The sequence below is a fragment of the Homo sapiens genome, chromosome 8, assembly GCF_000001405.40.
Source record: "Homo sapiens chromosome 8, GRCh38.p14 Primary Assembly".
Taxonomy (NCBI): Eukaryota; Metazoa; Chordata; class Mammalia; order Primates; family Hominidae; genus Homo; species Homo sapiens.
The window spans coordinates 124515298-124531217 of record NC_000008.11 but is presented as its reverse complement, the minus strand read 5'-3'; the positions used below and the strand labels follow the sequence as shown (position 1 = coordinate 124531217).

Below are 15920 nucleotides of genomic sequence, written 5' to 3'. Positions count from 1 at the left end.
CCTGCCAAATGACAGGAGGGAACTTTAGGCTTATTGCCAGGGGCTTGTTAAAGCTATAAAGATCAGTCACTGCAAGTTGTAGAATCTTTTTACAGCTTCCCAACAGGCCATAAACTCCAGTATTACCACCTCCAGCTTGGTGATGACAAGTAGTGGAAGAGACATCAGTTAAAATACTTCATCCAGCCTACTGGATGGGTGCTATTAATTAATCCTTGTGCTGCTAAGTTATAGAGATTGACTCCTGGTCGCACATGTCTCATCTGAAAACAACAACCCTTGCTGAATCTTGGAAGTTGGTGCCAGTCTCTACACGAGACTTCAGTTAACCAGAGCCTCATCTTTAGACCCAGAAAAAGGCAATAGTCAACATAAACTGCTTTCATGAGACCCAGGGCCAGGACTGTATTCAAAGACACTGGGTCTCATTTAATAATTTGCCTCTATCTAAACTAATAGAATTTGTTCCATGCCTTTCTGCTAGATAACTTCGATGTTTAGCTACCTGTGTGCTTCCTCTTCTTGTCTTTATCAGAACTGAGCAGGGCTTATGACCCCCACTCCTGAGGACATCATTGCTTTGTTCCTGTAGTGAGATGTTCTCTTACTTAAGGACAGTCCCTTAAGTTTGTCAGATAATCCCCTTGGATTTGTATGGGATTTATGGTTTTTCCCTTGGTTCAGTTTTCTGAATTGTTAAATGGCTGTTCCCTCCATTCCTTTTACTCATACCTGCACTGTCACCTTTCCCTCTCTTTGCAATTGTCCCTCTGTCTTGTCTCAATGCAGAGAATGGCATGATAACACTTTAGTTAAGCTGTCCCACATGTTGCTAGTAGAAGGAAACCTATTGGATTGCTGGATTTGCCAACAACTTCCTTGATCCATTCATAATAGATATGTGCCATTGGTAATATCTGTCACTGACTGCTCAGATGTCCCTAATGTCACCACTTACCCAGACCAACCCCTTTCCCTGTTGATTTTCCAGGTCCAATTCCTTCAAAGCCCAGATATTGTCACCCCTTGTTTTGATGTGTCCTGTGTTTTTAACATTGGAAACCCATTCTTTACCATGGGACCTTCTTTGTTGTTGTTGTTCTTTGGGTTTTTTATGGTTTTTTTTTGAGACTGAGTCTTGGCCTGTTACCCAGGCTGGAGTGCAGTGGTGAGATCTCAGCTCACTATAACCTCCGCCTCCCGGGTTCAAGCGATTCTCCTGCCTCAGCATCCCAAGAGCTGGGATTACAGGCACCTGCCACCATGCCCAACTAATTTTTGTATTTTTAGTAGAGACTGGATTTCACTGTGTTGGCCAGGCTGGTCTTAAACTCCTGACCTCAAGTAATCCACCTGCCTTGGCCTCCCAGAGTGCTGGGATTACAGACATGAGCCACTGCACCCGGCCTACCATGGGACCTTCTTGACCTATGAACTACTGGATAGACAAGTGTCATCTACATCAGATAAATAAAGTTAAAAATATATCCCTACAGTGCCCACAATATTTACATTTAAAATAAGTGAGTGGATTCTGGAAAGCTTGCAAGAGAAATGGCCCATAGTTTAGTTTGGTGATGTCAGCACTCCGCATGAATACATCTGCTAATTAAGACATCCTCAGGAGTATCACTTGTGCCCCCCATTCAGGCTGTGTGTTTGTATGTGGCATAAGGTCTGATCCACCTGCACAGCTTTGGGCACACTGTTGCCTCGGCAGCCTACAGTTAGAAGGTTCATGCTTGCTGAGATATTTTGTAACCCCCCGTATCCTTACACAAACTTACAGAAGGACCCCCTTTCTCTCCATTATTAAACTAAAAGGTCTGTGTTGGCAGGGTGTGAAGGTGATACAGATCAAAGCATCCTGGGAATATTAATTCCGAGTGTTGGGATTTATGTCAATAAGGATATGATTTGAAAAGTCTTTGCCACTATTAGTCACATTGTTGCGGGATTTAGGAGTATGAGAGACCTCGGGTTGAAACAGGAGAATCTTTTATTGAGTGCACTCAGGCCCAGCAGACTCAGGTCCAAAGACTGAGCCCGAAACAAAGACAGCACTTGACTTTTATACACACTTCACAAAAGGGTGTGGGCTAGCTTGAAGCAAGCTTACAGTGGTGTGAAAGCAGGGATACAGAGGCAGGACAGACTCAGGATTGCTCATGACCATTGCCAAGCAACCCAGGTGTCCGTTATCTAGGTTTGCCTAGGCACGGGCTTATCCCATAACCTTCACTGTGGGGCCCAGGCAGCTGTAGTTCAGGCCTACTCAGGCTTCTCGTGACCTTTGTTGTACTTCTTAGATAAAACAGAATACTTGAAGTTACTAGTTACAGAGAACAAGAATCTATAAACTCATACCATAAAGCAAAGGAAAATTTGTTTTTCTTCTCCTTATGTTGAGGGAGTGCTGGGAGAGTCTCCACAGCACATTAGATACCATTATCAAGACTTTTCCTGGGTCTGGGTTGTGCCTGTTGCCGCCTCTGGGACAAGTCAGTCTAATACAGGAAAACTTATTTCTCTATCTTTTTAATTTTATTTTTCTTTAATTTCCCACCTCAAGATAGCTGCAGACACTGCAAAAAGCCTTGTAGCTCAACAAAAGTCTCTAAACTCCTTGGCTCAAGTAGTACTAGATAATAAAGTTGCCGTAGATTTTCTCCTAGCCAAACAAGGAGTTGTTTGGCCCATACCTCCTGTTACATAAGTACTTCAGGTGAAATAGAAACTGTTAGAGGCCGGGCGCAGTGGCTCACCCCTGTGATCCCAGCACTCTGGGAGGCCGAGGCGGGAGGATCACAAGGTCAGGAGATCGAGACCATCCTGGCTAACATGGTGAAACCCCGTCTCTACTAAAAATACAAAAAATTAGCCGGGTGTGGCGGCAGGCGCCTGTAGTCTCAGCTACTTGGGAGGCCGAGGCAGGGGAATGGCGTGAACCTGGGAGGTGGAGCTTGCAGTGAGCCGAGATGGCACCACTGTACTCCAGCCTGGGTGACAGAGCGAGACTCCATCTCAAAAAAAAAAGACACTGTTAGAGAAAGACTATCCAAACAACCTTAAATGGTTACAAGAGCTATGAACTACTAATCCTCTCAATGATCTATTTAGTTGGCTTCCAACTGGCCTGGGAAATCCCTTTCAAACTGCTAAGTGTTTGTCATATTCATAGTCTCCATCATACTTTCTTTCTTAACATTTAAATTACTTATAATAGGACTGCAAGAAGTCCCCTGTTAAAACCAGAATTATGATGGCTCAGTGCGTAGAACTTACAGGCAAGTTAATTTTGTAGCCATTCCTTTTGGCTCTTATATCTCTTATACCTTACGGGTTAGTGAGGGCCTGCCATCTCTCTATTCCTGGTTGATCTAGGATGTCCAATTGGCTATCGTAGGGATGGATCTGGGACAGATAGCCACACCACCCTGGCAATGACATGGGACAAAATAAAGATTTGGCTATTGGTGCTGCTTGCAGCAGATCGTGGCTAAAATGGGGAAACATGAAATAAAAGTAAATTTCTAAGCACCCCCCTGCCCCACCCGACTGACTGAATGGACACTACCTTGGCCAAGGAGACCCCAGAAAAACTCTGAAAGCTAAGTTTTCCAGCCATGATTAGATGAGAGTTTGGTCACACCTCAGTACACCCCCTTCCTCACTAACCGATACCAGACTTTTTTTGTAAGCGTTAAATAGAAACCAGCCCTGGAACAGAAACAAGACTCACTCCTCTGCTGACTTCAGCCAACCACCTGACACCACAGCCAGACTCCCCTCCTTTTTTGTGGTTTTGACATGACAGCTGACCAGTTTCACCGCGCATTCCTTCCTGACAAGTGACCACCAGTCACAGACTAGTTCTGGCTGGTTTACTCAGGCTGTGCACCTTTTGACATATAAAGCTTAATTTTACTGCATTTTAATGTTAAGTCTCCACCCCAAAGTGAACATGGGGTTTGTGTAACATGTATGTTTGCTTATCATACACGCATGAATCCACCTTTCATGAATATACATAGCTCCTCCTATAACCTGTTAAATATGTACGTTAGCCAGCCCATTTAGTGTAAAACTCCTGTTCCCCACTTCTTCCTTTGAAATGGTTGCTTTTGTTCTCAGCCAAAGGCTCTGCTTCCCAGCCTGCAGGTTGCACGTCAATAAAAGAAATAAAGTTCTTCCCTAATGTATAGATCTCGTGATTTTAAGTCAACACCCTACAGAAAGTCTGTCTCCTGGCTTTGTCTGTTTGCTAAATAGTAGTGTCATTGAGCTTGTTCTCTAATCCCCCGTATTTGCTATAAACTCGGGGTTATATCTAAAGACTAGCAATATCTAAAAAACAAATTGTGCCTTATTTGCTGTCCCTTTGTATTCCTAGATCATAGGTGACAGTGATGTGACACGATTCAGTGAGCCCAATAACTGAGGCTTCAACTTAAGAGTTGTGGTTTTCTCCTGGTTACAAACAGTGCCGTTTTCTACTCTTACTTTGTTTTGAAAACGAAAAGTCAATATTTGAAGAACTCTTAAATAATAAAGTAGGTGCTGCTTTTCAAGCCAGCTATTTGAAGAAAATTAATGAAAAAGAAACATTACTGATCTATATAGGGTGACATGCTACTGAATGTATGAATCCTTCAGTTTTCTCCCCTAATGAGAAGTAGCAATTTTCCACTTTGCCTTGTTTTTGTTCCTATCATTCCCTCCCACCCGTATCTCTTACTTTCTTAGCTTTTCAAGCTACTTACTATCTTTAGCTGGATCTGGCTAGACATTGGTTTTCATACAGTATTTGTCTAGTTTGTTTGAGTTTACATGCCAATAGGCTTATGTCTAATAGAGACTTTTAATTTAAAAGATACTATTGTCAACCTCAAATAACCAAAAAGGTCAGAATCTAGTTTACAGAGTTTATTCAAGCACAACAGTTGAGGACTGCAGCCCAGGACACACTTCCAAGTTGCCTTGGGGAGTGCTCCAGAGAACAAAAGAGAGGCTCAAATTTTTAAAGGACAAATCAAAAGGTGGGGCGCGGTTACAAAAATGGTTAATCAGGGATTCTCATTGGTTTACAGAAATAACATTGGTTAGTGATTGGCTATGTATTGTTGAACTATAGGGTGTATGGCATTTTAGGGCCACTTGGCGTCAGTCTAGAGCCCACATAGCAAGCGGCTTCAAGAAGTAATTATGTAGCTCAAAGGGGAGTGAGCTTGGACTGCTGTGAACATTTTAAATGCCTTTCTGGGCCTGATCATTTAAAGGTGCTTGCATTTCTCAGATCCAAGGTTTTTGTTTCTCACTATCCCTTAACATAGATAAGAACATTTTGAACAAATTAAATAAATAGGATTTTGAGTGGCTTTGTTTTCATGATTACATCATGAGTCTTAATGTTCAAAACATATTGACTCACATTTGGCTATTTGATAATGCATTCTTGGATCGGGAGCCTTAACCACTTAAGGTGGTATGACAGTATGGCTAAAGCTGATTCAAATTCCATTTGTTGTTGGCATGTTACAGTGTTTGTAATAACAGTGTTCCCAATAATTACATGCTAATAAGACTTTTAATTTGCAAAATGCTTTCATATTTGTTTTTGGTTTTGAGCCACATTTTGTTGCTGGAAGGAGAAAGTTTATGTCCACCCTACTAGTGAGAAAACTGAGGCTCAGAAAGACTCACTTATTTGTTGCGGGTGAGCTGTGACTATCTGGGCCAGCAGTGCGAGGGTACAAGAATTTACTAAGACTGGCTGGGCGTGGTGCCTCATGCCTGTAATCCCAGCATTTTGGGAGGCCAAGGTGGGTGGAGCTCCTGAGGTCAGGAGTTCGAGACCAGCCTGTCCAACATGGCAAAACCCTGTCTCTACTAAAAATACAAAAAATTAGCTGGGTGTGGTGGTGGGCGCCTATAATCCCAGCTACTTGGGAGGCTGAGACAGGAGAATTGCTTGAACCCGGGAGGTGGAGGTTGCAGTGAGCTGAGATTGTGCCACTGCACTGTAGCCTGGGCGATAGGGTGAGACTCTGTCTTAAAAAGAAAAATAAAAAAAAGATTAGGATGATGCTAAAGTGTGGAAGGATGGTGGGTGGTCAGCTGTGATTACCACTGTCTACATCTGCATGGCCTTTAAGTGCTTCTCACTGCACTTGGGTCAAGGGACTTTTGAAGGAGTCTTCCTGCATTTCTGTCTGCCCAGATAAACCCAGAGACTATACTGGGACGTAGGACCTGCTTTCCTCATCAGCCAGGACCTATAGACCTTTCTCATCCCTCATTTCCCCCATCCCAGATCTCAAATCCTCAAGCAGAATATCCTGACACTCTGGCCTGCCTTCAGCAAAAATCCATCAAGTTGAGTAAACCCAGAATCTTCCCTCACCTTTGATGTTTCCTCTTAGTAATTTTTCATCTGTTGATCCCCATTCTACTTGGTGGCAATAAATCCTCACTTGTCCTTGTATTCAAAATTGAGCCCAGTCCCTCCCCCTTCTGCAAAACCTTCCCTTCTGTCAGTAGTCTCTCTTGAATAAAGGCTTCCTCAGAGTCTTTGACAAGTGTTATGAATAATTGTTTGCTTAACACTGCACAAAGGGGAAATGGTCTAGAAGAGATACAGACCATTTCTGTTTTCCTAATGATCAGTGATGATCGGTGACCCTAGACTAAACCTCTCTGAAGGATTATTTTAGGCAGAAAGGCCTCTCCCCTCTTCCCTGGGTTTCCTTTCTCAGTCTGCCCCATTTATCTAATTTCCTGTACTTACTTATAAAGAAACTAGATAGTAATTCTTTGGATTGGGCCATTCCACCAAACTTCTATATTGTATGTATAGTATTAGATGATGTTTATATGTTAATAGCCCTTTTAAAGGGTACCACATCCCACCCATCTTTGTTGACATGTTAGTGCCCAAATATCTTTGTAGTTTTCTGCATTTTACTTTTTCCCCTATTGTTTCAAATGCCTGGAATACTCTCTTCACTGTCTCTTAAATTTTCTAAACTCCCATTCACTTTCAAGGTGTGTCTTATTGGTGGAGCAGACACTCCTGGGGACCAACTTGGCAGAAATTAGAATGAGAACATACCAAGAAGCTGAAACTTGGCAGAAATAATGTAGGGAGTCTGTTGGTAATCAGCTGCCTACCACCACCGCAAATTTTGAGATTCTCCTCCTGCTAAAAGCTAAATTATGTGTATTTTCAATAAGGGAGGCATTTTTTTTTCTTGCCTGTGACCAGTCACAGTCTGACTTCATATCTTGTTGTTCCCCATGTTCCCTTATATTCTACAGCAGAACAGAGCTTTCTGTTGCATCCAGTATTTTAAAAACAAGTGTCTGTACCATAACTGAGTCTGGTGTCTTCTGACCTCTCCCTTCCTTACACTGTCTTCCCTCAGTATCGGCAGGAGACTGGTTCCAGAACCTCCTGCAGATACCAAAACCCTTACATAAAATGGCTTGGTGTTTGCCTGTAACCTGTGCATATCCTCATGTATGCTTTAAATCATGTCTAGATTACTTAAAATACCTAATTTGATGTAAATGCTATGTAAATGGTTTTTATACCTTACTGTGCTTTTATTTATATTATTTTTTATTGTTGTGTTGTTATTTTTATTTTCTAATATTTTCAATCGACCTGTGGTTGGCTGAATCTGCAGATCCAGATCCCAGAGATACAGAGGGCCAATTGTTCTTCTCTCCAGCAGCCAGAACAGCCTGTAGCTCTTTACAAGCACTGTGCTCTTTCCCATCTTGAAGGCTTTGCTCCCGCTGCTTCCTCTTTGTGCAGTTACCTCTCTTCCACTGGATAACAGTCACTCATCCTTTAAGATTCAGTTCAATGATGACTTCTTTCTGGAAGCCTCTTCTGAGCCAGCCACCAGACTAGGTTGGGTGTTCCTCTTCTGTGTCCCATAGTACCAGTGTTTACTTCTAATATTTCATAATTGTCTGATAATGGATCTGCCTTACCAGTTCTGCGGTGAGTTTCTTGAAAGCAGGAATTATATCCTATTCATCTTTGTATCCCATGTTTCTAGCACAGTAGTTGACAAGTGGTAGGCACTTGGATATTGTTTGAGTAGATGAGTGTGTGAACAAAAAGTTTAGTAACAGAAGCTTTTTATTTAAGTACAAGTTTCATGTAGAGACTCAATAATTAATCAGTGACTTTTGCTTTCTACAGATATTGGTATCAACTTGACTGACCCTATGTTCAGAGGAATTTATAGGGGGGTTCAAAAGCATCAAGGTAAATATTTCCTTTATTAAGGCGAATAGTTTCCTATGAAGACAAATTTTCTGCCTCAGGAGATCTTGAAAAGCATAATTCAAGCTGAGTCTTGTGGCTCACACCTGTAATCTCAGCACTTTGGGAGTCTGAGGCAGGAGGATTGCCTGAGCTCAGGAGTTCAAGAGCAGCCTGGGCAACATAATCCGCTCTTAAAATTGAAATAATAAAGAACTCCTGGCTGGGCGCAGTGGCTCATGCCTGTAATCCCAGCACTTTGGGAGGCTGAGGCAAGTGGATCACCTGAGGTCAGGAGTTCGAGACCAGCCTGGCCAACATGGTGAAACCCCATCTCTACTAAAAATACAATAAAATTAGCTGGGCATGGTGACATGCACCTGTAATCCCAGCTACTTGGGAGGCTAAGGCACGAGAATCACTTGAACCCAGGAGGTGGAAGTTGCAGTGAGCCGAGACCACACCATTGCACTCCAGCCTGGGCAACAAGAACGAAACTCCGTCTCAAAAAAAAAGAACTCATTATGCATTTTGGATAAACCTGTAAACAAAGTGAAACACATTTATTGATAAACCATGATCATGAACATTTATAATAAAGTTTAATTAAGGTCTTCTTACCTGTAGAAGTTTATAATTTCAAATATAAAACTTCAAATAGCCATTTGCACAGAAGCTAAAAAAAAAAGTCAAATTTTTGTCTGCCAGGTTTTCATAATACAGAGTTTATCTTTTACAGATGACTTACAGGATGTAATAGGGAGAGCTGTCGAGATTGGTGTTAAAAAGGTAACATCCATTTTGTTATTTTTGAGATTTTTAAAATTCATTTTTTAACTAAATTTTAGTTAAAATTTTGCAGAATAGAAAGGAACAAACCAATGCCACAGTTGGGGTACATATTGTCTACTTGTGATATTAGAAAGTTAATTGAAACAAAATATCAAAATACTCTGTTCATAGCAATTTAAGTTACACAAATCTCATGTATTGTTTTTATATATGATAAATGGCAAAAGCTCCTTGAAAAAAAATTTTTTAAACCTATGTGAATTACCAGGCTTAAGAGGCAACTTTTAATCAATTTTATAATATAATTTAGCATTTGTCAGAATTAAGCAATAATCAAAAATACATGTACCTGACACCAAGTGTAGCTATTTATAGTTTGGGCATACCATTTAAATAATGGAGTAAAACTTTCATTTTTACAGTAATAAAATGCCTACGGCTTTTTAGAGAGTTCTACTAAGCAAATGAATAGATATTTCTTTAAATTAGCTTTAAAACAGAGAGCTAGCCCACACATACACTAAGAAATAAGGTTAAATTCCATACTATGCTACCAGGACACTTGGTAGCTGCTACCTCCAAGATGAATAACTTGTTTTGGAAAGTGACACTGCTGACTAAATGAGTTTGCAGACTCCAACTCTAAACTTTTATTTGTTATTATTCACAAATAATATGAAAAGATAAAAGTTACATTAATTTCTCATTATAGTCACTCTGCTTGGTAAATCACTTTAAACAATGCTTTTCTGCAGACTCTGAAATACTAGGCTCCTAAATTTTCATGTGTTAGCCATGAGTAATCTTAATGTTTATTCACACACACACACTTAGGAATGACAGAACTGAAGTGATTTTTACTTGGACATGGTTCCAAACTGAAATTTAATTCAATACCTTGCATTTATAGTGTAGTAGTTAAAAGCATAGTTAGGGCATAACAAACGTGGTATCCAGCCCCTACTTCATTTTTCATAGCTTTATAACCTGGAGTCTTTTATCTCACTAGACTTCAGTTTTCTCATCTGTAAAATGAGAATGATAATAGTACTTAATTAATAGAGTTGTTATGAAGGCTAAATAAAATATTGAGTGTAAAGCATTTGGTATTATACCTGGCATAAACAACCTTCATTATGTGTATGATGGAAGCCACCACCATGAGATCATCATCATCGTTATCTTTTTTTTTTTTTTTTTTTTTTGAGACGGAGTCTCGCTCTGTCACCCAGACTGGAGTGCAGTGGCATGATCTCGGCTCACTGCAAGCTCTGCCTCCCGGGTTCACGCCATTCTCCTGCCTCAGCCTCCCGAGTAGCTGGGACTACAGGCGCCCGCCACCACACCCGGCTAATTTTTTTGTATTTTTAGTAGAGACGGGGTTTCACCACGTTGGCCAGGATGGTCTCGATCTCCTGACTTCGTGATCTGCCAGCCTTGGCTTCCCAAAGTGCTGGGATTACAGGCTTGAGCCACCGCGCCAGGCCCATCATCGTTATTTTATACACTGGGAGAGGAGATGATGCCCTCTTGTCTTGCCGTTTTTTTCAACTATTTAGTAAAGTTGTAGGTAAAATAAAAAGTATACTTGGTTAGTATTTTACGTAATTTAAATACTGGATGTAGGCATCTGTTCTAGTATTAAAGTTTTAGGTATGTTAGTAACAAGAAAGTTTTCCCAATATTTTTATTAGTCTTTTTTTTTTTTTCTGGAGGCGAGTCTCGCTCTGTCCCCCAGGCTGGAGTGCAGTGGCACGATCTCGGCTCACTGCAACCTCTGCCTCCCGGGTTCAAGTGATTCTCCTGCCTCAGCCTCCCAAGTAGCTGGGACTACAGGGGCCTGCCACCACGCCTGGCTAATTTTTGTATTTTCAGTAGAGACGGGGTTTCGCCATGTTGGCCAGGATGGTCTCAAACTCCTGACCACGGGTGATCCATCTGCCTCAGCCTCCCAAAGTGCTGGGATTATAGGCGTGAGCCACTGCGCCCTGCCTTACATCTTCTGCTTTACAGATAGTCAAGGATTTAATTATGGCTATGTTTCCGGAATGGATATGCAATAGCTAATCATATTAAAGATTTAAATAGCTATATGAAAATATCTATTTATCATTTGCAATTCTACCTTCGTTTTGTGTTTTCTCCCTAAGTTGTACCTAGAATGAATTCATTTTAGTGAGACTTTTGAAGTATGCTTTACAAAAATATACATCATTATACTTGAATCACGTCTTCAGAAGAAGGCGCCCCTTACGCAGCACTGCTTCAGTGCTCTCACTATCAACACATAACTCTTTAGTGACATTTTCATTTTAACAGATTAGGAAAGATGGCATTCTAATTACTGAGCGGACTCTAATGGGTCTATGCAGAAGTATGCTTATTTGCCAAAAGCCATACGTTTTCCTACAGAGAATTCATTAGCATGCATTAACTCACTGATTCTCAAACCTTTTGCTCTCAAAACCACTTCACATTCTTTATTATTGAGGACCCCCAAAGAGCTTTTGTTTGTGTGAGTCTTACCTACTGATACATACTATATTAAAAATTAAAACAAAATATTTTAAATATTCCTTTTAAAATAAGAAACTACTGGATAACATAAATAGCATATTTTTATGAAAAATAAGTATATTCCAGAACAAAAAAATTAGCAACATGAGTACAGTTGTATGTTTTTTCAAATCTCTAATGACTGTGTTACTAGAAGCCTGCTGAATTTTCATATCTTTTTCTGTAGTCAGTCTCTGGTGGTGTCAAACATCGTGTAGCTTCTTGAATACCTTGTGGACACTTGCAGTAGAGTGAGAGTGAAAAAGACAGAAAGTGTCTTATTATTGTTAGGAAAATAGTTTTGACTTCACATACCTACTGGGAGTTACCAGACTACACCTGGAGAACTGTTGAATCAATCAACACTATTGAATCATTGATTTCGTTATTCACGCTTTCATAACACCTGATCTCTGTCCTCAAGGAATGCATTGTCTAATAGGAAAGGTGGGTATATAAATACATTTTAACAGAGTCTAGTGATGAATTCTGCACCTCTACATGCACACACACATACATACATCCCTGAGGTGTAGTCAGGCACTACTCTGCATAGGAGGTAATCTCCCAGCTGAATTTTAAAGGGTAGGTGTGTGGCAGTCACAGAGGAAAGAGCATTCTGGAATAAGGAAGTGGTAGGAAGGCATGTTTAGGAAACTGTTATTGCTGCCCTATTAAAGTCAGCTTATTTTATTTTCTTTCTATTTCAGTTTATGATTACAGGTGGAAATCTACAAGACAGTAAAGATGCACTGCATTTGGCACAAACAAATGGTATCCTCATATTTCTTTTACCAAAAAAAAAATGAATTAAGTAATTTTGAAGAAGTCTTTCTGAAAACTGCTTCAGGTACAATACAATGGATCATGACTGGAAACAATAGGAAAATGGACTGATTTAAATGGGACATGATTAAGATGACAAAATTCAAAGTACTCATTGGTATATCAGATGTTTATAAAACTGTTTCATACTGCTCAATGAAGATTATTTTAAGATTTCAGCTAATGAGAATAAAGTTCTCCAGGTACACAGTTTAACCTCAGGTGTGTTTTTTTTTTTTTTTTGAGACGGAGTCTCACTCTGTTACCCAGGCTGAAGTGCAGTGGTGCGATCTCGGCTCACTGCAAACTCCACCTCCCAGGTTCACACCATTCTCCTGCCTCAGCCTCCCGGGTAGCTGGGACTACAGGCGCCCGCCACCACGCCAGGCTAATTTTTTGTATTTTTAGTAGAGACGGGGTTTCACCATGTTAGCCAGGATGGTCTCGATCTCCTGACCTCGTGATCCACCCGCCTCAGCCTCCCAAAGTGCTGGGATTACAGGCGTGAGCCACTGCACCCGGCCTTTTTTTTTTTTTTTTTTTTTTTTTTTTTTTGAGATAGAGTCTCACTCTGTCGCCCAGGCTAGAGTGCAGTGGCGCAATCTCGGCTCACTGCGCGCGCCACCTCCCTGGTTCATGCCATTCTCCTGCCTCAGCCTCCCATGTAGCTGGGACTACAGGTGCCTGCCACCATGCCCAGCTAATTTTTTGTATTTTTAGTAGAGAAGGGGTTTCACTGTGTTAGCCAAGATGGGTCTTGATCTCCTGACCTCGTGATCCGCCTGCCTCGGCCTCCCAAAGCGCTGGGATTACAGGCGTGAGCCACCGTGCCCAGCCAACCTCAGGTGTTTTTGATGTGGAATTCATGTGTGTGTTTTAACGTGTTTAAGATACGAGTTGCTTTTTATTTACTCTTTTTTAACTTAAGCTGTGAAGGGCCATTTTATTAAATTTTTACTAGATGGACCAGATACTGTGCAAGGTACCAGGAATGCAAATAATAACACTATATAATCTCTCATATCCTTGCTTTATGTTCATACATTTTGCATTTGTTTAAAATCTTAAAAGTTTTAAGACTGATTATTAAAGGAATCCTAGTTAGGTAAAACCTCATTTATCTGGCATTCACGAATTTCACTTTTTTTTGCATTATCTTACGTGCTAGACACTGAGGAATTAAACATTCCACATAATTTTTAAATTTTGTATTTTAAAATACTGATGTGTTTCCTTTATGTATGAAAACTTACTAAAAGCTATATTTTTATGGAAATCTCTCTAAAATCCACACTTGTCTTTTAGGATCCATTCACACTTTTTCTTTTTTTTTTTTTTTTTGAGACAGTCTTGTTCTATCACCCAGGCTGGAGTGCAATGGCACGATCTCGGCTCACGGCAACCTCTGCCTCCTGGGTACAAGTGATTCTCCTGCCTCAGCCTCCTGAGTAGCTGGGATTACAGGCGTGTGCCACCACACCCAGCTAATTTTTGTATCTTTAGTAGAGACGGGGTTTCACCATGTTGGTCAGGCTGGTCTTGAACTCCTGACCTCGTGATCTGCCCGGCTTGCCCTCCCAAAGTGCTGGGATTACAGGCGTAAGCCACCTCACCCACCCCATTGACACTTTTTGTTAGTGATTAAAGATAGACTATCTTCCAGGGAGTTTTTGAAATATATAAGAACATTTTATCCTTACTTTTCATCCCCAAACAGCTATGCTTTTTAAAGTTCTCCCACCTCCATTACCAGCCCTCTTCCACTCCTCTCCATGTAACTTCTGTTCTTACAGCTTTAAAAGTGCTGCTTCCTTTTTTTCTAAACATCTACATGAGAGCCTGAGGAAAGCTTGATACCTTTCCCATGGTTCGGGCTCAGCTAAGCCATTCAAAAAGTGTTTTTGACTTCTCATTTGTATTCTATGCAAGTCAAGCTGTCAGAGTCTCCTCCGAATAAGTGAACCTCATTTACTTGCTAGAAAAACAAATCCCCCTTTCCACCACTTTAAATCGCCCCCACTATTAACCTGTTTAAGGGAATACATTTTTATTGCTATATTAAATACATGAATCAATAATGGAGGAATAGGTGTTAAACAAACAAAAATATACCAATCAAGATAGTCACATGAATGGTGAATATAAAAGATAAAATCAGTGCTGGTCATGGTGGCTCAGGCCTGTAATCCCAGCACTTTGGGAGGCCAGGCAGGTGGATCGCTTGAGCTCAGGAGTTCGAGACCAGCCTGGGCAACGTAGCGAAACCCTGTCTCTACCAAAAAAAAAAAAATTAAAAATTAGCCAGGTGTGGTGGCATGCGTATGTAGCCCCAGTTACGTGGGAGGCTGAGGTGGGAGGATCGCTTGAGCCCAGGAGGTCAAGGCTGCAGTAAGCTGTGATAGCACCACTGCACTCCAGCCTGGGTGACACAGTGGCACCCTGTCTCAAAAAAAAAAAAAAATTTCACTTTGCATTCTACAGCCCTAAATGCCAAGCTTTAGAAAAAGTTGAATTATTTTATTAATACATTAAAGCAATTTTCATATTCATCTCCTACTTTGTTTAGGTATTCTAAAAATTGTCATATGATTAACATAATGCAGTTCTTATAATTTGAGTAATTTATTGCCATTGTTGAAAACCAGTTGAAATTACTTGATATCCTCTAAATATCATAATAAATATAAATATGAGAAAATACTTTGAAAATAATCCTAAGACATTATTTTCTGTTAGGTATGTTTTTCAGTACAGTTGGATGTCATCCTACAAGATGTGGTGAATTTGAAAAGAATAACCCTGATCTTTACTTAAAGGAGTTGCTAAATCTTGCTGAAAACAATAAAGGGAAAGTTGTGGCAATAGGAGAATGCGGACTTGGTGAGTGCCAGCCTCGCCTCTTAGAGTGACATTGTTTGAAAATAAGTAATTTGTTCTGTATAAGTTAGGAGTAATTATTCTTCTTTATCTTTTTAAAGATTTTGACCGACTGCAGTTTTGTCCCAAAGATACTCAACTCAAGTAAGGAAATTTGTTGGCTTTACAAATTATTGTAAAATCATGAGTGATTTTTAAAATATCTTGTATCAGGTGAGAGTATAGTTGGATTAAGCATGAGGATATTTTTGTTTTTCCCTTTGTATATCAAAAGTAAGTGAAACAAATTCCATGCATACTTGCATGTAATTCATAAGGGATGGAAGCACATAGTTCCCTGGTTGATTAACCATTTAATTTTATTGTAATGGTAGAAATTAGGGATGAGTTTTACATGATAGAGATTTTACATTTTCTGTTTGCTTGTTTAACAGACGCATTCATACGTGAACAGTTCCAATGGAATGAATTAAATTATTTTGGGGAATGTGATTGTTTTGTTTTGTTTTTTGAGACAGAGTCTCTCTGTCGCCCAGGCTGGAGTGCAGAGGCGTGATCTCAGCTCACCGCAACCTCCACCTCCTGGGTTCAA

General features: G+C 40.4%; 1 protein-coding gene across 18 annotated transcripts in view, besides 2 other annotated features; it reads left to right on the top strand.

The window, feature by feature from the left end:
• TATDN1 (TatD DNase domain containing 1) overlaps window positions 1-15920 on the top strand; it is a 50595-nt gene that overhangs the window by 7871 nt on the left and 26804 nt on the right. For 8 of the 18 annotated variants that reach the window (NR_027427.1, XR_007060756.1, XR_007060757.1 and 5 more), the window contains exons 2-6: window positions 8216-8281; window positions 9018-9067; window positions 12337-12400; window positions 15188-15331; window positions 15430-15472. Coding sequence is in view for 14 of the 18 variants with exons in the window: in NM_001317889.1 (NP_001304818.1) it covers window positions 8216-8281; window positions 9018-9067; window positions 12337-12400; window positions 15188-15331; window positions 15430-15472 (367 nt within the window). In the remaining 4 variants the exon portion in view is untranslated. Of the gene's footprint in view, window positions 1-8215; window positions 8282-9011; window positions 9068-12336; window positions 12477-15187; window positions 15332-15429; window positions 15473-15920 lie in introns of those variants that run through there. The other 10 variants (XM_011517331.4, XM_024447293.2, XM_047422300.1 and 7 more) reach the window with 8 other exon arrangements.
• Window positions 2939-2988: an enhancer, noted in NCBI's record as "active region_27885". NCBI's record gives its function as "activates an Ori minimal core promoter by ATAC-STARR-seq in GM12878 lymphoblastoid cells {active_cell/tissue: GM12878}" and the evidence as "EXISTENCE:reporter gene assay evidence [ECO:0000049][PMID:35858748]".
• Window positions 3729-3898: an enhancer, noted in NCBI's record as "active region_27884". NCBI's record gives its function as "activates an Ori minimal core promoter by ATAC-STARR-seq in GM12878 lymphoblastoid cells {active_cell/tissue: GM12878}" and the evidence as "EXISTENCE:reporter gene assay evidence [ECO:0000049][PMID:35858748]".